At 38.6% G+C, this 25,506-nt stretch overlaps 1 protein-coding gene and 1 long non-coding RNA gene across 5 annotated transcripts in view; one reads left to right on the forward strand and one right to left on the reverse strand.

Moving 5' to 3' along the window:
• Window positions 1-25,485, reverse strand: LOC105372521 (uncharacterized). 3 transcript variants are annotated; one of them, XR_007067521.1, is made up of 3 exons: window positions 13,375-13,412; window positions 12,152-12,276; window positions 1-61 (listed from the first exon to the last, which is right to left on the reverse strand). It is a non-coding gene; the product is annotated as an uncharacterized LOC105372521 (long non-coding RNA). The 3 variants fall into 3 exon arrangements; XR_007067520.1 differs by lacking the exons at window positions 1-61; window positions 13,375-13,412 and adding exons at window positions 8,165-8,243; window positions 25,172-25,485; XR_001754734.2 differs by lacking the exon at window positions 1-61 and adding an exon at window positions 8,165-8,243.
• PLCB1 (phospholipase C beta 1) overlaps window positions 1-25,506 on the forward strand; it is a 752,635-nt gene that overhangs the window by 499,007 nt on the left and 228,122 nt on the right. For both annotated transcript variants that reach the window (NM_182734.3, NM_015192.4), the window contains exons 5-7: window positions 14,830-14,909; window positions 16,628-16,681; window positions 18,102-18,177. In NM_182734.3, the coding sequence (NP_877398.1) occupies window positions 14,830-14,909; window positions 16,628-16,681; window positions 18,102-18,177 (210 nt within the window). The remainder of the gene's footprint in view (window positions 1-14,829; window positions 14,910-16,627; window positions 16,682-18,101; window positions 18,178-25,506) is intronic.

Below are 25,506 nucleotides of genomic sequence, written 5' to 3' on the forward strand. Positions count from 1 at the left end.
CTCTTCCTTAGAGAAGCTTGGGCACAGTGTTGCCAGATCTTGAATTTTCTTCTAAAAGGAGCTGCAAAATCCATGAAAGGTGTTAAATATTGGCAACAGTTGTTTAAAAACACCATGTGAACCAAAAAAACATTAACTATGGTCTGAGTAAGACTTGGGAGCTTCCATTTGGCAGCTTTTTGGTCTAGATTCACATTAAGTAAGAAAAACATTGTGCTAAATAAAACCTCAGGTCCTGACCACTGAATACAATGGGGGAAGCACGTAACATTATCTTGCAGAGCAGAATCAGCACTCTCCACCACATTTGTTCATTCTCTAACTTCCAAACCATTCCTAGAGCCCTCTGGGTGCCTAAGAAATGTGACCTTTTAGCACAGCATTTTTCAGTAGACAGAGAACCATCTGCCCCCTTAATGGTCATTGTGGAAATTTTTCAGAAGTTTTATAATAGGCCACTTTTTTGTGACTTAGATTGGATCCTATTCTTAACCACAGCATCTCTCATCCCCTATAAAGGAAAGAGAGACAGAATAATATAAAAAGAAAATCTTTTGGATGTCTCCAGGTTCCATTTTTAAACATGTAACTTGAAAATTAGAGAATAAGGGAGACAAATCATGCCTTTGGGCCAAATTTAAAAGTCAAGAAGAACACAATCACTACACAATGTCCTTACAACACTCAACCCATTAATTCAACAAATGAAAACCAAGCAAATGAGAAATTACTCCTGGAGGAGACAAATATGGGTTTTTTTTGCTTTTTTTTTTTTTTTTTTTTTTTTTTTTTTTTGCCTGCTGAAAAAGGTAAGACTTTGTTGCAAATAAAATATGTTCCCCTGAAAGGCCATAATTTTGACTCTTTTTGAGAAGGAACTAAGTGGCACAGAACTCATACTCATGAGTTCTGTAATTTGGGCCCCAGGAAGGAACACAGTAAACGGGAGAGAGCACTAGAGAAGATGTCTATAAATGAGAAATGTTAGCAATACTCTTCTGCCAAATGGATATGAGCCTTCAAGCCCGTTGACAGTTTGGGTACATTCTTCATCCATAAAATGAAGAACTTGGATTCGTTCACTCATTTATTCAACAACATTTTGTTAAGCCTTCTGCAATGTGCCAAGTCCTATTCTAGATACTGGAGATCAAGCAGTGAAGAAAACAGATAAAGACCCTTGCCGATGTGGAGCATACATTCTAGTGTGGGAGACACAATAAGTAAAATAAAGAAGTCAGCCACGCAGTGTATTAGGAAGAGAGTGATATTGACAAAAATGAGATAGGGATGGAGAGTGCAGTGGAAAAGGGCATTAAATAGGGTGGTCAGTGTAGCCATCTCTAGGAAGTGACACTTAAGCAAAGACTGGAAGGAGGTGAGGGAATAAGTCAGGAGGATGTCTGGAGAGACAGCACTGCGCTTGCACTACAGCAGGTGCAAAAGCCCTGAGGCAAAAGATAGTCTGGTGTACTTTAGGAACAGCCAAGGGCAAGCGTGACAGCAGCTGGGTAAGCAAGATTGAGGGAAGGTAGTAGCAGAGGGAACTGAGGAGGCAACTGCAACTGATTTTGCTGTAGGATGGCATAGGCTTTTGAAGGACTTTGGCTTTTACTGTGAGTGAGATGGAAGCCCCGAGAGGGTTTCAGCTGAGGACAGATGTGATTTGACTTAACATTTAATCCATAATGGACCGCATGGGGGAGGGGAAATAATGGAAGCAAGCAGATTCGTTACCAAACTATTGAAATATTTAGGTGAGTTGCTAATGACTTAGACCAACGTGGAATGTGGAGGAAATAAAAAGGAATCCAAATTTGCATGTATGTACACACACACACACACACACACACACACACACACACACACACACACATATTATAAAGAAGGAAGTGATGGCATGTGTTTATGGATTTTATGTTGCATGTGAAAGAAAGATGCATGGAATCAAAGACGATGTTAAAGTTCTGGCCCAAGAGGAAAAGATAGAAATATCATTTACTGACATAGGGAAAATATAAAATAGAATATAATTTTTTGTTTAGAAGTATATAGCAGAAGTTCAGTTTTGGTTACGTTCAGTTTGAGATTATTATTAAATACTCAACTGGGTGATTTTGAGTAGGTAGTTGGATATATGAGCCTGGAGGTGAGTGCCAAATATAACACGTAAATTTGGGGGTCATTGGGTATTTGATTGTATTAAAAAGTCATCATACTTTTTAATGAAGCTGGATGAGATCAGCCAGGAAGTGACTGTAGATAGAGATGTCCAAGGGCTGAATCATGGACAGTCCAACATAAAAAGAATCAGAAAAACAGAAGCTGAGAGGAGGCAGCCAGTTAATGCCATGCTCATGGGAACTGAGCCAGATTATTTAATGTTTTACTGAAATGTAGCATACACAGAAAAGTGCACAGTTTCTTACTCCATACCCTGATGGAGTTTTGAAAAAGGAATATATCCACCTAATCAACATCCAGATCAAGAAACAGAGCATAACCAGCACCCTAGATATCCACCCTACTAACACCTCTATATCGGCAGTTAACATGATAGATTAGTCTTACCTGTTTTTAAAATATCTGTAAATGAAATCATACAATAAAGTCTTTTTGGTCTGACTTCTATTATTCAACATTATATTATGAGATTTATGAGATTCTTCTATATTTTCTGTGTAATTGTAGTTTGTCCATTCTCTTTGCTAAGTAGTAGCCAGTAATTTACTTACAGTTCATGGGCATTCTTGTAGTTGTACGTTTAGGGCTGCTACAAATAATGATGCTGCAAACATCTGCCTTTCAGAGAGCTAGATATTGGAGTGTAATGACTGGTCATAGATCTTTGTGTGTACTGCTTTGATAGATACTGTCCTTTTCTCAAACTTGTTGAGCCATTTTGATTTTTTAATATTATTTCACACATAAAAGAAAAATTTATCAGAGGATCTCTGTAGGTTAAATTATTACATTTTGAAGTAGCTGTCATGTCACAGAAGAAATGCGCTCTCTAAAAATATGTTATATAAAGTGAACATTAGTCTTTAATGTTTGTAATTTTAGATTCTTCCCCCTCTGTAGCTGTGAGTATCTTGGAGAGTCTAATTCACTTATTTCAAGGATATGAGTGAGATTTTCTGGAAGTTTTCGTTAACTTCGTCTATATCAGTTTCTTGTGCACAATCTAGATAACACACCAGCTCTCTGAATTTCCTAACTAGCTCTCACATCTCTTTCCTGCTCCCCATTCTTCCTGCCATCTTGTTAAGCCCTTGACAGGTCTCATGGATAGTCATTACCTACCTATTTCCTGAAATTCTCTCACACTTTGCTCTACAAATCTGCCTGCTCATCTGCATAAGAATGGCCTTTTAAAACAACAAACTCATTCCTGATCATATTTTAAATCATTTTCATTCTCTATTACCTGCAAAATGAAGTTTCTGTGCATTTAGTGAACAAACATTTATTGAGGGCCTAGTATGTGCCAAGCACCTCGCTGGGCACTGAGGATTCATCAGTGACCCAACATAGTCCCTACCCTCAGGTACTGATGATCCACCACTTTGACTGTTGCACCATTCTGTTCTAGCAGCTCCTAACTACTTGTGATTCTTCTACCTTTACAATTGTAATATTAATGCCTTTATAATATGGTAGTTTCCTAGACTGCCTTTCTCTCTTTTGTCCACCAAGAAAAGTCCTAGGCCTCCCGAGGGACTCAGCATCAACTCAGTTCATCCATCTCTCGCTCTATCTCATGACTTCCATGCATAGCCCATTGTTCTTTCATCTGTTGTTCTGTGAACCTTGAACATATTTTCAATTACAGTCATTACACTGTAATTATCAATCAGTGTGTCTTATAATCTATCCTGTATTTGCGAGCTGATGAAAGTCAAAAACAGTAGTTTAGTCTGTTTTGTGTTCCCAGGATCTAGCTTAGTGCTTGGCTCAATAAATGCGAGAGGTGTGAGAGAGGAAAGGAAGGGAAAGGAAAGGAAGGAAAGGGGAAGGAGAAGGGAAAGGAAAAGGAAAAGGAAAAGGGGAGGCTTTTGAACTCTTGAAAATAAGTGATAGGTCACGTACAATCTTAGAGTCATAGTGGCTTTTAACACCATGTGCTGCAATCTTTTCATTTAGAGTTGGGAGAAATTAAGGCCCCTTAGCAGATTGGTTGCTTAAGGCTTTTCCTAGAATAATTCTCTCTCCAGCTTGCCAGGATTCTCAGTAGGAGGACCCAGGTGGCATTCATTACGATGGCTTCCATTTTCCTAATCTTTTTTCCCAAAGCTAACCTTATTCCCACTCAGAGTTACTGTGACTGTCACTTCCCTACCCAGCAGTTACTCCACGCTTTCTTAAGCAAATGAAAAATAGCTTCTATTTACCAAATAGTTGACACCTTTCAGGATAAGGAAATGAGAGAAGATGTCACGGAGAGGGGAATTTCTTTTAAGCAAAAGAAATTATAGTCTATGGGATAAAGGTGGGAAATAGAAAAGAAAGAGGGACAAGTGAAGGGTTCTGCTAAGGCCACCTCCGGGCCATTCATCAAAAACTTCAGGAATTTTCTTAGAGTTGCCCTAAAATAATAGTATTAGCTATTTAAAAGTGACCTCAAGAGACATGAGGTTCTTATATTTATTTTTATTCTGGGAACATATGCATTGAGGTAAGAATTTTGAAACACTTGCGTATATTCTGTACAAAATGTGTGCTTTATCTCGTTTCTATTTTGAATTTCAAACAAATTTATGATGAGTAAGCAGTAGCTGTAAGTTTGACTTTAAATGAAAAATGATTAAGAAAAAAGAAAAGGTGGTGCCATAAATTGTGTTCAGCAATTTGTTTTGGGACATAATGGAAAACTGTGCATGACTTCCTTGCAGGTAGAATACATGTGCCAAAAAGATCACTGTTTGCAAACATGAAAAGTTAGATCCATGTTATTGTGTTTTGTGAGATCATCATTACCTGCTATTCCTGACCTTATTATATTAAAAAAAAATGCCTGTGTCATCTTAGGCTATTCTTCCACCCAATCATAAAAAGGACCAAATTCTTACTGTGTCAATACATTGCACTATTTGTCTTGGAATTTTATACTGGTAGGTGTCCTTTGTTGGAGAATGAGATTTACTCTACATTCTGCACATTTTGGATATGTGTCAGGCAAATGAAGGATGCACAACTTAAACTTTTATATTGTGAAAACATCGTCTATCTGGAACATTTGTTTAAAAGCTCATAAGTCAAAAGAAAGACATTCGTATTAAAAAGATTTTTATTAAAAAAGGGGCAACTTGGATTTCAGTCTCTCCCTTACACACACAGAAGCAGCAGCAATTGCTATTCTGGTGACTGTGGAAGAAAGCACCCCTGCCTTCTGTCTCCTGGGTGTCTTTTCTGCATTTGCTAGACAAGAACTTTTTTGGAGCCAGAGAGTGCTCAATGGTGCCCACATAAAAACAATTAATGTCAAACTGAAGGGAAAATGTCAACGCTGAGACATAGAAATGACTGTGATTTCAGACTGTGGGTTACTGTTAGTACAAGCCCACCTCTCCCCTGAAAGAGAAAACAGAAAACTGCATCAGCAATAGCATCTCTTCTTTCCTTCCATCCACTCCATTGCAGAGACAAGCTACTCTTCTGCATACCTCCATCTGCCTACCTTCTGATGCCTGGCAGCTAAGTAAGCCCTGATTGCATTACCGGTGTGCCTAGCCTGGAAGCAAGAACATGAGCACCACAAAAAAAAAAAAAAAATCACCGTGACTTTTTGGAAGGAAGAGGAGTTCTAAGAAAATCTGGCTTCCTTGTTTAAATTTCTCCCTCCACATATAAAATATTGGTGTTGGCAGGGGAATACTGACATACTTTGAGAAAGGCAGGTTGATCTGTTTCACCTACTACCTTGATATTGGTTGTCATCTTTAGTAGTTAAGCCAAATGATGCCCAATGAAAAGCTGGCACTAAGGATTAAAAATACTTTTTGAAAATACCTTGCTAGTAATTTTCCTGATAACTATATTATAATTTTCATTCATTCAACAAATATTTACAGGCATAATCAGCCAATGAAAAGGTGAAATCAGAAGAGGGAAATTAAGGAAGATATTACAAGAAAATATCTGAGAGCTAAACAAAAGTACTGGTCTTAAAGTCTAAATAGCAAGTACAGGAATGGAGTAGATTCAGGTAATGAGTAGGAAACTGGAAGATGACAGATAAATGAAAAAGACTTAATTTTTTTCTCTCCAAAAAAAAGTTAAAGTAGAAGGGTGGGGATAAATGTACCAGAAATGTATTATCCAAATATAAACCATGCTAAAACATGTAAGATTTTCAAAAACTGAAAAAAGAACTTAAAAAGATAAATATATACTTGTTATTAGGAATGTTCCCTTCGGAAAGCCATGTGGGTTATGGTGTTGGAACTGAAACAAATAATCTGATATATTCTAATATATGGCCTAGCAGAAAATTATAGTTGCAATTTCATACTCATGTAAATTTTTATTATATTTGTTTTAAACTTTCAGAATCAATTTATATGCAAATAAAGTCATAATTATGAATGCGGAACAAGATAAAAACTGACCATTTATTTTATTTATTGATTTATTTTTGAGACGGAGTCTCGCTCTGTCGCCCAGGCTGGAGTGCAGTGGCGCCATCTCGGCTCACTGCAAGCTCTGCCTCCTGGGCTCACCCGCCATTCTCCTGCCTCAGCCTCCCGAGTAGCTGGGACTACAGGCACCCGCCACCATGCCCGGCTAATTTTTGTATTTTTAGTAGAGACGGGGTTTCACCATGTTAGCCAAGATGGTCTCGATCTCCTGACCTCACAATCCGCCCACCTCGGCCTCCCAAAGTGCTGGGATTACAGGCGTGAGCCACCGCACCCAGCCAAAAACTGACAATTTAAAAGTGAGTTTAAGCTAACGAGAGTTGGAAGTAAAAGGAATGGCAGGTAAATGTCCTCCTATCATAAAGGAGCCAAGGGATACTATTTTTAATGAGTGGATCAAGAGAGTTTGAGTATGTTGCTTGAGATTGTAGAGGTGACAGGGAGGAAAGGGCACAAGTGATAGAACTCTATCACAAGCAAGGAGAAAGGGCAGGTGAGAGATGGAATCAGAGATTTAAAGCCTCCTCAATCAGAGCAGGATATTATAGTCAAATTCTAAAATCAGTCAAGGAAAAACATTATACACGCACACACGCACACACACATGAAAAAAGCATTACACACCCATATATATAAATAGAAATGTGTAAGTAAACCCCAGAAATTTAAGAATAGAAATGCTGAAAATAGTTGTCAAGAAACAGAACTAGGACGTAGAAGTGATCATTGCCTTTCCAACCCCTCTGAACAACTTTTAAGAAACTCTGTCTCTGTTTCATCGATAAATAATAGTTTTTTAGGTTACTATCATTTAACAAGCATATATTACACCTGTCACTGGTCTAACATGAATTATCCCAATTCTCTCAAAAGCCCTATGAAATAAATTCTATTATTGCTTCCATTTTATAAGATATATGAATATTGGAGGACAAATTTAAAAAGACTTGTCCAACATGATTCTGTCTTTGCATTTGGCCTGGAGTAACAGAAAACCAAATCAAACAATAGCTGAGACAAATTAAGGATTTTTAATTTGTGTTTTGTTCAGTTTTTCTTTTCTTTTCTTTTTTTCTCATGTAGCCGGAACCCTGAAGGTAGTGTTGTGGGTGCCACTGCCTGGGGTGGGCATTGTGGGTGGTAAGAGAATTTACCAAGACAGTGATAGGTAAAGAAAGGCAGATTTATTAGAGAAAGTTTGAAGATATGTTGCAAAGGTGCAGTGGGCAGCACAGCAGAGAAGGGGCTGTCTGCAAAGAGGCAGGGATTGGAGGGAAGTTTCATAGGGTCATGATGGAGGGGTTATGTGCAGAATGAGGTCATGCTTCTGGAGTTACTGGGACTACGTGCTGAAGGAGCTATTTGGGAACAGAGTGTTGTGCCAGCGGGTTGTCTGTGATTAGCCATCTCAGATTGTTCTCCCCAACCTAGGGCCCTTTCCTCATTGTTGCTTACTTATCTTATTAGGACTCCACAGGTGGTTTCTGGCACTGATTCAGGAGCTCAGGGATAACAAGGCTGAGTGAGGCCCCTATGATTCTCGTGGCCTTTTTCTCATAGATCGAGATGCCTCTGTAGCTCTAGCCTTTCCATTTACATTCCCTACAGTAAAAGGAAAAGAGATCTATATCAGGAAACACATTTTCCCAGAACCCTCCAGCAGGCATCTGCTTACATGTGATTTGCCATGTGGCACATGTTGGTCACCCAGCTGCTAAGGACATTGGAAAATGGATATTTTTTTTTCAGTTGAACATATTATTGGCCTGAGCACTGTTGGGCCTCTGTTAGGCAAGAAGGATAAAATAGATATGAGATAGCATTTGGCAGAAGGTCCCAGCTAGAAAATGGTAGAATTGTGTTCTGAAATCCAATAAATTATAACCATGATAAGCTAGAACAAGGATCTGCAATATGAAAGTCAGGAAGAGCCATTAAATAAACTGATATCAATATTTTACTTTTAAATTAGAAGACAAGAAAAAAAAAAAAAACTGTGTTTAAGAGTCACTATTCCAAGACCTTCACAGGCAGTGAGAATGGTCAAAGATGGAACAATCAAGGCCAAAGACAAAGAATCGTTCTTATAGCAGAGGAAGAACTAACGGGATTGAGTTACCAAGGGCAAAATACCCTCTTCATTTGAAGAGAAGAATCTAGCTTGCAAAAAGGTTTAAAATAAAGTTGGAAGGTATAATTAAGGTAATTTAAAACAAATTTATTTCCAAATGAGAAAATTATATTTCAGCAGAATTCTGTCATTAAATTATAAGTTAATGAGGAACTACCTGTGCCTCGTTCACTAATCAGTTTTCAAGTAATGCAGTTTTAAGATTGTCGAACTGCTTTCATAATAAGCAGATAAGCAGCATGCTTAATGCCCAAGAATTGCGATTGCTCCCCTTTTTCTGTTTCACATACATCTTACTAAGGAAATTAGCAGTGCTTTTTTCTTTTAAAATCCTTTTTTATGTGATCTCTTCAAATGGAATTATTTTTGTAATGAACAACGATATCAATTATAATTACAGACCCCGCTTACATTTATTGTCTATGGTACACAGCACCGAGGCAGATACAACCAAAGTAATAATTAACACTGAGACTGCTAGGATTCAAAGGCATAATAGCAAGTGTTTTCATAAGAATGACATGAGACTGTTGGAAGAATCATTTCAGGAATGTGAGGGATTGACATGAAATCCACAAAAATGAAACTTTGGGGGTTCTGTATATGAGCACACAATTAGCATTTTCTCAGTTGTACAAATGAATAATGACTCAGGAAACTAGGAGGAGGGAAGGGAGGAGGTCTCCCCAGTGGATGCTAAGAATACACCTGAGACTCCCAGTGATACAGCTGCAGTCGTCTCATTGTGAAAACTTCAACAGAAACAAACATCTCTCCGTTCTTCTACTCTGTGCCATGGACGTTGCTCTTTGGGGGAGTTTTAATTTTTCCCGTGGAAGAATTTTCTTTAAGTTCATTTTCATTTCATTTCACCACGTTAAACTTTTCCCATTTGGCAGAGGAATGTCAAGAAGACTGGGACATACTAGAACTGGCAGCCTGAACTCTTCCTTAGAGTATCAGGATACCATTTAGAAGAATATTGCTTCACTTACCTGAAAAAAAGATACTTGAACAACAGTTCTTCAGAATACAGCCCAAAACATCAACCAAAGCATAATAAGTATGTCTACATAGCCAACATAGATGCCCAAACCCTTACACAAAAGCTTCTGTACTTTATTAATTGGAGAGCTTGCTAGTCCCATGTTATATCCAGGACTCCTAATGTTTGTAAACTATTCCAGTATAGTTCACATTACAACAGAAATGCATAAAGCCAGTATTACAAGCCCTCTAGCCAAGAATGGTTATTGAAACTTATAACAATAGAGGAGATATAAAAATTAATTTCAAAAGACATAAATCATAAAGCATGGAAGTCAGTCTCTTTCATTTACACATTCACTTATGCAGTCAACTCAGTGATTATGAATCTATTACCTATTTTATAAAAAAGAATGCGAGGCAGAACTATGAGATCCCACATAAGTTATGAAACAACACACACCCTTTCCTTCCGTCTGCTTTCCCACAGGACTCCTAGGTAATGGGCATATGCCATGTTTGCTATACTCTCCCCTCTTCTGGTCATTGCTTCCTTCCCAGATCCAATTACTTGGTTGTCGTGGACACTGCTAGGTTCTTACCTGATTGATTGTTCAAGAGGTAGACCAATCAGACCTTTCCCAGCATTCTTGTTACTGAAAATGGAGGAATTAGCCAGACCTTCTCTGGTGGTGAAAGATACCATATGTGACAACTCTTGGTGAAGTTGGTGGCCATGGGGAAGAACCCGTCAGTAAGGAAAAGAAAAATGCCCTCAGGAAGAGAGCAGAGTAATAGCAATCAAGAAAGCCCTTTTGCATTCAGTCTCCAAATTCCTGATGATCATGTATTTATTATAAATGCATTTTTTGGCTGCAGTTTGTCCAGTTTTTCCTTCAATTACAGGAAACGACCCATTGCACTTGATACTTTCTCCTATTTCTTAAGTTAGTTTGAGTTGTGCTTTTGTCAGATGTAGCTTAAAGACATTTGAATAACATGATCTGAAAATAATTATGCATCTTTCCTTGATTTGAGTAATATTATTATGCTAGTTGTCCTAATCATGACAATATTGAGTCCTAATATGTTTCCTAGCTTTTTGTTAGTTGGGTTTTTTTGTAATTATGTATGATTGGCAATCATTTCTCTTTTGGTATAAGATAAAAACGAGAGCACTTTGACTATGATATAAGATCCACAGAGAAACTATACCAGAATTTTTTCCAAAATTCTAGATGTTCAGTATAGTATCAAAAGTGCAGTCAGTTATCAGATAGTCCTTTCTGATTTTAACAAAAGGCTTTCCAGCTCCTGTACCATCTTTCACCATGAAAAGATTCTTCACTGCGTCATTAAGACATTAAATGCTCAGCAGGATGAATTCTGATGCATGCCAGTAGTGACAGAAATGTGTTCAGCCAGGTGAGGCAACACTGACTGAATCACACAATGTTCCTCCTTACTCACATCACACACTGCCACCCCCTTATGAGTAGAGGTAATCAGAATGACACCATTATCAATGACAGCAATAGGAGTTTGCCAATAAATAAAAAACAAATATAAAATATTAAAAAATAGGACCTTTACATGTCTCACCAATATTAAAATATCTTGTTTAAAATTATTATATGTCCCAGTAACTTTTAAATATTAATTCAATAGAGGACGAGATAAATAGTGAAACACAGAGAATTTTTAGGGCAATGAAACTACTCTGTGTAGTTAAATCTCCCCAACTCTTTCTAATGCTGTACCTTTTTCTGGCGTGAAACTAGCCTCTGGTAAACATACAAAACTGTATCTTGCCCTCAGTTATAGATACTTTTACCAATGCAGAAAGTTGGCATGGAGCTAGAAATGTCTAAAGCTTGGCCATGAGCCTACAAAATATTATACCAGAAACATATTTTTGAAACCAGTGGTTATTATTCTTAGTTTAAAATTATCTATTTTAAGGAAAATTGATTTTTAATTTGTTAGATAGTTACTGTGAAATGCTCTTCTGTGTCGGCATAAAGCTTGGTGAGCAATAATTTTGCTTCTCTCTTGCAGCTATTCTGTACTGTCTTTTTAAGTCCTCCTCCAACATATAGAGTTCAAGGTCTCAGTATTTCTCACCTGGACTACTGGACTATTACAGCTTCCTAACTGAGTTACCCTTCTTTGGATTCTCAGCCTCAAATCCATCCTTGACCTGGCTGCCAGATAATCTGTCTGATATGCAGCCTAGCCCTGGCATCACATTTTTTACTAATTTATCTCCAGACACCTAAATGCTCTTTATCCTCTGACCACAACTCTAGTTTGTTGTCGCAACCCCCTCCCTCTTTTCTAATTCCTATTAGACTACTTTTTGTTTGCTCTAACTCCTGCCATGTTAGCTCACCTCTAGTTCTTTTCCCAGTTTTCTCTGCTCGGGATTCCCTCTTTTCTTCCCCATCACTCTATGTTCCCTGCTCCTCCAGTTCCATCTTGAATGTTACTGTACACATGACAGCGTATTATCGGTGCCTTAAGTCAGGAAGCAAAAAAAAGACAAATCAAACAAAAGTAGAAACAACAAAAAAACAGGTGGCAAAGCAATTAAACTAAAAGACATTATTTCACTTTGGGAGGCTGAGGCGGGTGGATCACGAGGTCGGGAGATCGAGACCATCCTGGCTAACATGGTGAAACCCCGTCTCTACTAAAAATACAAAAAATAGCCCTCTCCCTCTCCCTCTCCCTCTCCCTCTCCCTCTTTCTCCCTCTCCCTCTCCCCATGGTCTCCCTCTCCCTCTCTTTCCACGGTCTCCCTCTGATGCCGAGCCAAAGCTGGACTGTACTGCCGCCATCTCGGCTCACTGCAACCTCCCTGCCTGATTCTCCTGCCTCAGCCTGCCCAGTGCCTGCGATTGCAGGCGCGCGCCGCCACGCCTGACTGGTTTTCGTATTTTTTTGGTGGAGACGGGGTTTCGCTGTGTTGGCCGGGCTGGTCTCCAGCTCCTAGCCGCGAGTGATCTGCCAGCCTCGGCATCCTGAGGTGCCGGGATTGCAGACGGAGTCTGGTTCACTCAGTGCTCAATGGTGCCCAGGCTGGAGTGCAGTGGCGTGATCTCGGCTCGCTACAACATCCACCTCCCAGCCGCCTGCCTTGGCCTCCCAAAGTGCCGAGATTGCAGCCTCTGCCCGGCCACCACCCCGTCTGGGAAGTGAGGAGCGTCTCTGCCTGGCCGCCCATCGTCTGGGACATGAGGAGCCCCTCTGCCTGGCTGCCCAGTCTGGAAAGTGAGGAGCGTCTCTGCCCGGCCGCCATCCCATCTAGGAAGTGAGGAGCGCCTCTTCCCGGCCGCCATCCCATCTAGGAAGTGAGGAGCGTCTCTGCCCGGCCACCCATCGTCTGAGATGTGGGGAGCGCCTCTGCCCCGCCGCCCCATCTGGGATGTGAGGAGCGCCTCTGCCCAGCCGCGACCCCGTCTGGGAGGTGAGGAGCGTCTCTGCCCGGCCGCCCCGTCTGAGAAGTGAGGAGACCCTCCGCCCGGCAGCCGCCCCGTCTGAGAAGTGAGGAGCCCCTCCGCCTGGCAGCTGCCCTGTCTGAGAAGTGAGGAGCCCCTCTGCCCGGCAGCCAACCTGTCTGGGAAGTGAGGAGCGTCTCCGCCCGGCAGCCGCCCCGTCCGGGAGGGAGGTGGGGGGGTCAGCCCCCCGCCCTGCCAGCCGCCCCGCCCGGGAGGTGAGGGGCGCCTCTGCCCGGCCGCCCCTACTGGGAAGTGAGGGGCCCCTCTGCTCGGCCACCACCCCGTCTGGGAGGTGTACCCAACAGCTCATTGAGAACGGGCCAGGATGACAATGGCGGTTTTGTGGAATAGAAAGGGGGGAAAGGTGGGGAAAAGATTGAGAAATCAGATGGTTGCCCTGTCTGTGTAGAAAGAGGTAGACATGGGAGACTTTTCATTTTGTTCTGTACTAAGAAAAATTCTTATCCTGTTGATCTGTAACCTTACCCCCAACCCTGTGCTCTCTGAAACATGTGCTGTGTCCACTCAGGGTTAAATGGATTAAGGGCGGTGCAAGATGTGCTTTGTTAAACAGATGCTTGAAGGCAGCATGCTCGTTAAGAGTCATCACCACTCCCTAATCTCAAGTACCCAGGGACATAAACACTGCAGGGTCCTCTGCCTAGGAAAACCAGAGACCTTTGTTCACTTGTTTATCTGCTGACCTTCCCTCCACTATTGTCCTATGACCCTGCCAAATCCCCCTCTGTGAGAAACACCCAAGAATGATCAATAAAAAAAAATAAAAAAAATAAAGACATTATTTCATTGAAGAGGGAGCCAAGTCAACTACAACAATATCAGATGATGACCTAGGTCTTGTGTCATCTTCTCTTGGAGAATTTTGTAGGGGTTTCAGCCCAGAATGTGTTGTGTGTTTCAAATAATCACGCAGAATGGAACTTCTATATTTTTTTGTAGACTTGCTCTTTTCCATTATCTTGGAAGCCTAGTGAGATCATTGCTTTCTGGTATGAGGTAGGGATTATGATTAGGAGATTAGTGAGATATTGACAGTGTTGGGAGAAGGGAGAATATTGCATATTATGTGGCCTTGTGACTACATGGTATGGAGAATTTCTAGAACTGTAGTTAACAGTTAAAGATACCAGATATAGCTGCTTTGGCATGAGTAGTAGAGCAGGAAGATTATGTTTGCATGTTCTGCTGGAAACATATTTGATCATATTTTAAATTTTTAATGACTCTTTATCTGTTTATAATTCAAGGAAATAGTAAAATGTGCTTAGTTATTGAAGGGAAACAGAGCAATTTTCTATTTATACAAATTTTAAAAAGCAGAAAAACCTTTATGTACAAAGAACATCTCCTTTGGAAAAGAGTAGTCTCTCAGGGACTTGAATTTACTTATGTCATTTTTACCCAAAAAAGGGATAATAATACAAAACAAAACAAAAAACCTTTGGCATGCACATTGAACTAATGTGTCTTCCTGGAAGCCAAGCTAAAAGCATGTGTCTAATGACTGTGCAGTATTTAAGCTAATGCAAGTGTTATTTACATTTTTCAGGAATGGACAAATGAGGTTTTCAGTTTGGCAACAAACCTGCTGGCCCAAAACATGTCCAGGGATGCATTTCTGGAAAAAGCGTAAGTCACTCTAATTTTATTGCTAAGGGCGTTGCTTCTTCTGAGTCAGTTTCCTTTCTCCTTTGTGAGTCTTCCGTTTATGCCATACTGACTTCTCACATTGATAAACACAAATTTTCCTTTGGGATTTATTAGAGAACTGATACCTCCCCTGTTCAGAATTGGAAGACTTCCAAGAAAGATTGCTCTTTCCTCCAAGCTGCACATCTGTGTTACACCTGGGCTAAGTTCGCATGAATGTCAGTGCTTTTGACACACAACAAAGAGACACTTCCAAATCCTGGCAGCTGTGCTCAGAACTAAAAATTATTAATTTCAGATAATCCTCTGCTTCTACATCTGTGTGTGTCCTCTCAATTATTAATCTGAGGAACAGCATATGTTCCTCATTTCTGTAGAGTTATAGATAGATGCTACAATACCTTTCCTGACTACTTAAATCAATAGGCTGACATCCTGATTCCATCCCATGTAGATGATCCCAGCAAGTATTAGTAAGAAAAGAGAAAGGATCTAAAGGAAAGAGAAGAAGGAAAATAAGGAAAGAAAAGCAAAACAAATTGCCAGATCACTCTGGAATTGCCACAGCCCTTCTAAAAATTGTTTGACCAAGGAAAATAATGACTTAGGCAAGATGAGCAGCAAGGAAAGCTGGTTGTGTTCATTTTGGAAGCTGTGGTTGGTCAGGAGGTTAGGAAGTCTTTAAATCAAAACCACAAGTAGAAACATTAATAGGTGGTCCTCTATTTTGTTTAACAGAGTTCTGTCTTCCCTCTTCTTATGTAAGACATACCCATCATTCCAGACCTAATACCTCAGCCACATTCCTTTATTTTACTCTTCTATGAATTCCTTTTGCTTTTAGTCAATACCTCAGGTCTTCATTTAAGGGCTTTTTTATGGGATCGCCTCCTCTCCTGAGTTTGTTAACTTAAGGACTCTTCCTTCATGCCTCCACCTCTTCCCTTCCTTTCTTCCTCTATGTTTTTACCTTGTCTTTGATTTTATCATCCTTCTTCTAGAATATGTTTTCCAGACAATGTTTCTAGAACATTCATTCTTCCATGAAATGTTAGTGAAAGGGGACACAGAGGTAAATAACATGTTTTATCTGAAACATAGCATGTTATTGCTAGTTGGCTAATCAATCTCTACTACAAATGTCTATTCCAGAAAGATGTCTCCCTATGAATAGCTACTATGGACATGTCTTTTAGTGAACATATTGTTAATATTTTTGTTGCACACATCTAGCTTTGGGATTGCTGGGCCTTAGCGTGTGCAGCTTCCTGAAGTAGAATTCCCAATGTATGCATCCATCAACAGTGACCTAGAGTTCTCATTCTGAGAATGAATATATAAGCAAACAATAAGCAAAATATGGTTAGTTCTCAGAAACATGCTATTGAGTGAAAGAAGCCAAACACAAGAGTATGATTCCTTCATGTAAGGTGCAAAAACAGGCAAAAGTAATCTATGCTATTTGTAGTCAGGATAACAGTTCCCTTTGGCAGGGCGTTTGGGAAGGGCTTCTGGAATGCTGCTAAAGTGACAATGTTCTATTTCTTAATCTGGGTGCCAACTGTGGAGACTTGGGCAGTTTGTGGAAATTCAGCAAAATGTACAAAGGCATGGGCTTTTTTGAGTGTATTTTATTGTTCAAGAAAAAAAAGCTTTTTTAAAAAAATCAAACCCTTGTTTTTCTGCTTCTCCAACAGCTATACTAAACTTAAGCTGCAAGTCACTCCAGAAGGGCGTATTCCTCTCAAAAAGTAAGCTTTGTGAGCATTTCTCATTATTCATTTTATTTTCCTCAAAGATCTGAATCCATGCCATGGCTCTGTTTTGTTTCTCCAGCAGCCTAAGTGGGAGTGTGGAAATGCGTGGTAGCCCTGTCCTCCCTCACACATGTCTCATGTCAGTGCAGCTGCTTTCCTCATAGACGTCTCCCCGGGGCTTCCCTTTCCTCTGGCATTATTTTCAAGAAATACCAAAGCAGGAAGTGGGTGGAGGAAGTGGAGGGACCCTTGCTACTAAGGCCGAAAGGCCATCTGAGATTCAGATCTGTTCTAGGAGTGGAAATTGGCCGACCTCAGTGCCTCTTTCTACCAAGATGGCTGTAGCCCTCAAGCAGGGTTTGCAACCTCAGATGCTAACTGGAGCCAGGCAGGGAATGTAAATGATGAAACAGGTCAGGAGGAGGAGGAAAAACTAAAGAGCAAACCCTGTCTAAAGGAGACAACAGCTCATCTCCACCATATATCCTGTGGGACTGGTGAGCACCTGACACTAGATTGTCTAATGTCTTTATAGAACCCATAAACCTAAATTAGTATATTAAATTGTCCAGTACTTAAGTTCTATTTTTAAATCAAATTAGTAACGAAAAAAAGTCCATCTCTAGGTCATATCCAGCCAAAAGTCTTTAACTTTTGACTTACAAGCTACTAGAAAGCTTCTGCGAATACACAAATTAAGCCAAGCACAGTGGCTCATGCCTGTAATCCCAGCACTTTGAAAGGCCAAGGCAGAAGGATTGCTTAAGGCCAGGATTTTGAGAGCAGCCTAGGCAACATAGTGAGACTCTATCTTTGCAAAAATTTTTAAAAATTAGCCAGGTGTGGTGGCACATGCCTGTAGTTCTAACTACTAGGGAGGCTGAGGTGGGAGGATCACTTGAGCATGGGAAGTGGAGACTGCAGTAAGCTGGGATCATGCCACTGCACTCCAGCCTGGGCAACAATGTGAGACCCTGTCTCTAAAAAAAAAAAAAGAAAGAAAGAAAGAAAAGAAAAGAAATTAATTTAAAAGTAAACAAATTAAAAATTAAATTTATTAATAATGCAATGTACACCTTGGGGCAATGGGTAGTAGCAGCAAGGGGACAGAATTAATAAGGATGTTTATTTTAGTGCTTAATATTAGAGATTATTTAATGCAATATTTTTTAATTGGGTCAGCACCATAATCCTAAAATACTGATTTTATACTAGACACCTTAATTTTAAAAGCACGCAGTTGATCTTTCAGAAGACAGATGCAAATGCATGGAGGAATGGTTATCTTTTAGTTCTTTAAATATGAATAATAAATAGATTTGACTGAATGGAATATTTTGAGTTGGCATCATCTGTTAGTGCTGTGATCCATGTGCCATTTAAACCTCTCTCCTTTGTTGTGTTCACTTCACAGCATATATCGCTTGTTTTCAGCAGATCGGAAGCGAGTTGAAACTGCTTTAGAGGCTTGTAGTCTTCCATCTTCAAGGGTGAGCATGTGTGTTATGCTATAGTTTGAATGTTCAGCCCCTCCAAAACTCATGTTGAAACTTAATCCCCAATATGACAGTTTTGAGAGGTAGGGCCTTTAAGAGGAAATTAAGAGCTTCCATGATTAATGGGTTAATGAATTAATGGATTATCATCGGAGAGGAACTGGTGGCTTTATAAGAAGAGAAAAACAGACCTGAGCTAGCATGTTCTTCCCCCTCACCATCTGATTCCCTGTGCCACCTCTGCCAAAGTGGAGAGTCCCCACTAGCAAGAAGACTTTTGCCAGATGTGCCCTCTCCACCTTGGACTTCCCAGCCTTTGTAACTGTAGGAAATACATTTTGATTCCTATATATTATACAGTTTCAAGTATTCTGCTATATGCATCAGAAAACAGAGTAAGACTGAAAATTGGTACCAAGAGGTGGGGTTTTTGCTGATAACAAATATCTGAAAATGTAGAAGCAGCTTTGGAACTGGGTAATGAACAGAGGCTGAAAAAAGTTTATAGAGCTAGCTAGAAACAGCCAAGACTTGGTGAGGCCTCTTTTCACTCCTATAACCCCAGTATTTCAATCTAGAATGACCCTTGCTTTTTGTAGATAAAAAAGTCACCTAATCAGGTAATATTTTTAAAATAGTCAAAAAAGGCTAACATTATCAAGATGACAATTTGAAATGTGGTTTCAAACTTATTAACAATAAACCCTTCTTGATGTTTTTTTTAAGATATTAGCTAATGATAGTGTTGAGTTAGGAGGCGAGACTCAACTCTGGTGGTGGGGTATGAACACCGGACCAAATTAAGGACCAGCTAAAACAGGGGGAGCGGAAGCAGCTTTCCATAAGATATGTCCATGTCAGTTTACCATTGCCAGGGCAACACCGAGGAATTACCACCGCTTTCCACGGTAATGATCCAATGACCCAAAAATTGCCACTCCTATCATAGAAATTTCTGTATTAACCACCCCTTAATCTACATGTGATTAAAAGTAAGTATAAATACAACCTCAAAACTGCCTGAGCTGCTACTCTGAGCACACTGCCTATGGAGTAGCCCTGCTCTGCGGGAACAGGCATGGAGCTGTAACACTGCTGCCTCAGTAAAGTTATTTTCTTCTACCCTACCACTGGCTCGTCCTTGAATTCTTTCCTGAGTGAAGCCAAGAACCCTCGCAGGCTAAGCCCTACTTTGGGGCTTTCCAGCCCTGGATCAGTGTGAAGCCGTTATGTTTAGGAAGATATTTGAAATATTAATTTCATCTCACCTTAGCATTTTAAAATGTTTAGTTTTAAGATGTATAAGCTATGTAAGCAATTAGTATGCTGCTATGTGCTTATAAATAAATATATTTACATACTTTACAGAGCTGTGCTCAGAAAGTTTTTACTGAGGGGGTGCAGGATCTAAACAGTTTGGATCTAAACACCTACTTTGCTCATACGGTGGTAAAGTAGGTGAGAGGACAAGCATGTAACATGCTTTCATTTTTATGCCTGACACACACAAGGTACATCATATACATTAACCACCTCAAATAAAATAATTTGCTTTCATTTTGATTCATTTCTACATGACTGGCTCTAAAATGATTTGTTACTATTGTTTCTGGAAGTCCATTGCATAAAATTTTTTTCTCGTGCAGAGCTCTCCTTTCATTATTTTTATCTGAGTATCTAAGCAACAAGGAAGCCTTTACCTAAGGGTAACATGACTTTATAGGAAGAACCTTTGAGCCCCTCAAAATGTGCCAGCAATGTTCAAGTTGCACTGAATAAGTTTGCAAAGCCATTCTTAGACTTATGATTGAATTATAAAAGTATTGAGTGCTATGGTTAAATTTATCAGCCAATTATTGTTGTGAAGACTTTTCAAAACAGCAAAGTTCATTAACAACTTTGGTGGGTCACAAGAAAGAAATAAGAGCACCTCTTCACTATCACCTTTCTTCTATAGGTGGAAAAAGCTAATGAGGCTGCGAAAAGTGAGCAGAGCTGTGGAAAGGCTCCCCCAAAACATTTTCACCTTCATTTTATAAAGCAAAATAAAATGCTTGAACCTGCTTGCTATTGCTTTTTTGTTAGATGCTTTGGAATAGGAAAAATATAACAATTAAGGTCCTGTCCCCGACTTCAACAAATATTTCTTGAGCTCTTACTATGTGCCCATAGGCATTGAGAATATGGTGGTGAAGAAAATGAAACTCAAGGTTTCAAGGACAATAGAGTCTTCTGGGGAAACTAGCCAATAAGCATGCCAACAAATGCGTCTGTAAACTGGGGGAAGTGCTATAAAAAGAAAGACTGGAGAACTACTATTGAGAAGAAGGGAAGCTCATTCCAGAAAAAGAAAACAATGCTCGCAAATCCCTGAGGCTGGAAATAATTTCCCTACTGGATTTAAGCAACTGAGAAAAGACCACCGCATTCAAGCATAAAGAGAAAACATGAGAGATGGATTTGCAAAGACATGCAAAGAATTTTTTTCCTTTTGCAATCACTTCTGATTTTACCTTTTCTGGATAACCTCTGGTAAAATATAATAATCAAAATATTTAACTTATGAATCTAGCTAAGGGAAAGAAGGAATAGAAAATTAAATGTATGAACCAATTCCCCGTAAATTGTAATTTTCTAAACAACTGGATTCTGAGCAGTCAATAAATACACATTGAGTAATCTACTATGTTTATTATATGTTCAAACTTTCAGACCAATGTCAATTGCAGGCAAATTTAAAAGGAAAATGAGATTCAAATAACATGAGTTATGTTTAAATTAGAAAAAATTATCTCTAACAAATTAAATGTAATGATAATTATCTGAAGTTGGAGAAAACTTTAAAAAACCTCTATGCTAAAACTTTGAAAAATTATTATTCATAGTAAAGTATAATTTACTTGGATGACTTATAGAATTAGAATGCTTTTTAAAAATCTAAAAACCAAAGACTGTTTCAGAGCTAGGAAATAAATGTTTCTGTGAACTGACTATGATGTATCAAAACTCTGTTTTAAATCTCTGTGATAATTTCATTCCTACATAACAATGACTCTAGAAAATATCCACTAATTAGCAAAAAATTTTGGCCATATTCACAAGAGGTATTTTAAACAAGCCACGGAAGAAAAGGGTTATATAAATCATAGTTGGTTCTGCGTAAATGGGAGCATATTTTGTAGCCAAGTCATTTAAGCTAGATTTAATTGTGCTCTGTAAATAGATATATTACCAGAAACACAGTGGATGTCCTGTTGAGATTTCTTTTTAAAACATGATATTACTGCACATTGTTGGGGATAAATAAGGCACTTGAACTTGTATCCTGGCTGACGTGATCCACTAGAATAACATATTCCTTTAGAAGATGCTACTCTTTAGAAATCACAGTTGCTAGCCTGAAGTTACCCTAATTGTTAAAAGGTAGTACTGTATCCAAAGAGAGAGACAAAGCAATTACTGTCCTTCTGTTAACAACCCAAGCATATTTTCCAGTGAGACCCTTGAAAACTGTTCCGTGTTCAAAAAATTACCACTTTACCCACAAACTTTCTGAGAACTGAAAATAGTTTATTTGCACCAAATTCCCTTGATTTAAGGCTTATTAACTTGAAAAGAGCTCAGTGACATCTGGAATTGTATAATAGTCTTGCCACAGCACTGGCATACGGAGTTGCATTTTAACGAAGAAGATCAGGAATAAACCCATGTATTTGTTTCAAATAATAAAGTTTACTGTAGTTGGTGGGCACACATGTAATACAAAGAGAAATTAATTATTTTAAATTTGAAGAATTGTATAAATTTTACTAAATACTATGAATAAAATGTATAAAATAACTTCTGTGTGTAACTTATTAGTATGTTGCCTTTCTTCTGTGCCTTACATCCTGAATATAAATCAGAAGCAATCACTTTTGTAGTTGTGATTCTTAATATGACTAATATCAAAATTCTACTTTAAAACCAAATTAAGTATTCCGTTCATTATGAGTGATTTACTTGTAGTTATTTCATGTATTCCATGGCTAATTCAATGTTTTATTTATAGTTTCAGAATAAAAATATTGACAGTATATTGAATTTCTGAATTTACTGGGAAATTGTCCATCAACTTGTCAAGAAAAACAAGTCTATATGTGGACTTTATTCATTAGAGTCTGCTTCAGTGAATTAATATATTTTAAAATAACATTTTTTCTGATTTTTTTCCGAAATTTAAGTACCCATTTCTCATATAATTATTTTTTAAATCAAGAAATATATAACGAAGAAAATGCAGACCACCGTCCCAAAACTAATAGGAATATTTAGTGTACTGGTTTACAGTATAAGGTATAGAATTAAGCAACTCAGATTCAAAATATAGTCATTGTGACCTCATCACACCCATTTGCTCAACCCAGGACCTTAGACAAGTTTTGTAACCTCCTAGCACTTGTGTGTTCCTATCTATAAAAGTAGTACAGTAATAATGCCAACTGCATAGAGTTGATGGGATTACATGAAAATATTCAAGTAAAGCTCATAGAACTATGTTTGATATACTGTAAATGCTAATTATTATTCTCATTTTGAGTATTTTTCATATGCATATATTGGGGGGATCTTGTTTTTATTTTTAATTTGGCATTTGGATATGACATTACCAGGTCTATGGAATCTAGAAATGCAAATGCCACCAGTACTACCACCAAGATTGTTAAAATCTTTTCCCTTTTGAGATTCCTTGTATATAAGCATGGTATTGAAACACTTCCATTTTTTCAAGTTTGCCAGTACTTTGCAGTTTCTAAAATAAATGGGCCTCATTCAGATTACTAATTTAGATTATACTAGCCTTCTTAAGTCATCCTTCAAAAAGGCCAAACAACAACAAGTCATCACTGACAGTGCGTTTTGTATTGGGTGCCTGATGTGATGGACCACGTCCTGGATTAAAACAGAAGACCCAAGGTCTGGTATCATCTCCTGGGTTCATCCAGCAAACACTGATTAGGTATCTATTATATACCAGGCACCATGCTGGGAACACAAAGGAATTAAATAAGAGATTGTCATGTCACTCAAAAGCTCATAGTTCAGTAGAAAATAAGAAATATAAAAAATAAAGGAAAAGCTGTGAAATGGATGCAATGATGAAGATAGATAAAGGGAGACTGTGAACACAAAGAAAAAGTAGTGTCATGTCTAGCTGATGTGGTCAGGAAGGGTTCACGGAGGAATATTTGAACATTGGGCAGGATCTTTAGAGTATTAGACCTTGGATTTCCTCCTAGACAAACAGGAAAAATGAATCCGTGCCATTCACTTCACCAAGCTGTGAGATTGAGAAAGAGAAAGTCTGTGAATTAGCTTTGTGAATTTCAGTCTTGTTTAAGATGCAAGGAATTAGGGATTATCCATAGCTTTTACCTAAACATCTCCCCTATAGCCTTTCATCTCAGCATTTAATGATGCTTACTTATTTTAACTCCTCTTTATGGAACATTTTTTCTTCCATTTTCACCTACTAACCCCAAAGACTTTGGGGTATCCTCATCAGTCAAGTTGGGCAAGAGAAAAATGAGACAAAGAAAATCAGCTGTATTGAAATATTTTCTTTCTTCAATATGCTATCATCCAACTCGCAATGAAAATAATGTTGTGTTTATTCAGATTATCTCTTTAATTTGACTCCTCCTAATTCATAGCTGGTACATAAACAATGCTAAGATTTTAGTAAAGCATATTGTTCTATCAAATTATGTGTCAGGACTCTTACGTAAATGATGTTAGTTAAATTTGATATTTCAAAGGAAATAACAGCACATGCGTGCTCGCTATCCATTTCTCCACACTTCTCAATAAATTACATCCATTCATTTAGTAAATATTTATTTATACCTACTGTATGTGGCACACTGGAAATAGAGCCATTAACAGACAAGACACATATCCTAGCTCGTGTACATCTGCAGATTAGCAAAGACTAGACAGAATTGTATAGCTGGGAGCACAATACATTGAGTGTTGAAATGTGAGACATGCAAGGTGTGATGTGTGCACAACTGGAAGACAAAATCCAGTTCAAGGGGAAGGCAAGGCTTTCCAGAAAAAGAAGTTATAAATAGACGGGAAGGAAAAGAGAGGTCAGTAAGTGAAGGATGACAATTATTGCTATCCTTAGATCAAATTAATTTATGTGTACGTTGAGTGAAGTTGGTGAAAGGGGGAATGAGGTGAACTCTTTTTAGTAGGGAAAATAGGAGAACACCCTTGGGGTTCATAAAATCCAGTAAAGCTGGAGGCACTTGAGTTGGCCAGCAGTGCCATTGAGCATGTTCTTGCAATTGATTTTAAATATTTCTCTTCCTTGTGTCTAACAGCCAATGAGTATGGTAGATAGGGTCATTTTCATCTATTAAAACCATTTACAGAGCTCCTGGTGTCCACTTAGAGAGAGGGTGGTACTGAAAAGTGAGCACTCTCCGGCTAAAGAGATTTCTCTCTTTCTATAAATCAAGAGGACTTTTGGAAACCTGCTTGCAGGTTATACTTGTTCCCTTTTTATGAATGGCAAAATACTAATAAAACAATTCACAAGAAGTCCCCACTGCTCTTGGATTTGACCGCTTGTGCTTATTTCAAAGTTTGTGCCCAAGTAGCCCAAGTTATAATGATACAACACATCTATGTATAATGATTCATGTATTGTTCGGTTGTCTCAAAATTCTGTTTTGCAAAATAGATTTTTTCTATCTCTGTAAATGGATTTAGCAAAGGAAATATTACTTCATTCATTCAATCCACAAATACGGGTCTTCTGCTGTCTGCCAAGTGGTGAGCTAAGTTCTCCTATCTGTTTGCAAGTGGTGAACAACTTCAGACAATAATTTTTAGACATTTGTATAACTGTACATTTCAAAACCTATGAAAATAGTCAAAGGAAGGGTGTGTTCTTTTGTTTAAGGGCTTGAAAAATAAAAATAATCACATTAACACATACCTGAAATAGGAAGACTGCATGAAAAATGTCTTTCCTGTTAACAAAGGCTTGAATACATGCTTCCGGTTTCCATGGCAGCCCAACCAAACAGAAAAATAAGTCATAGAAGTGGCCTTTTATATCAATGACTTGCTTCCTAAACAATAGGACCAGGAGCAGTCAGTGAAAAAATAATGACTGGTGCTGTCCTACTTATGAAAACTGTTTTACAACTTATCAGATTATTTAAACCAGAGGGAACATAGTTTGAAAATAATTGACACAAAATTGGAATTTATGTTTTCATTTTGACTATGTCTGTCTCTAGGGTCATTACTTAAAAAAAGAAAAAAAAA

The sequence above is a fragment of the Homo sapiens genome, chromosome 20 (genome assembly GCF_000001405.40).
Source record: "Homo sapiens chromosome 20, GRCh38.p14 Primary Assembly".
NCBI classification, from domain to species: Eukaryota; Metazoa; Chordata; class Mammalia; order Primates; family Hominidae; genus Homo; species Homo sapiens.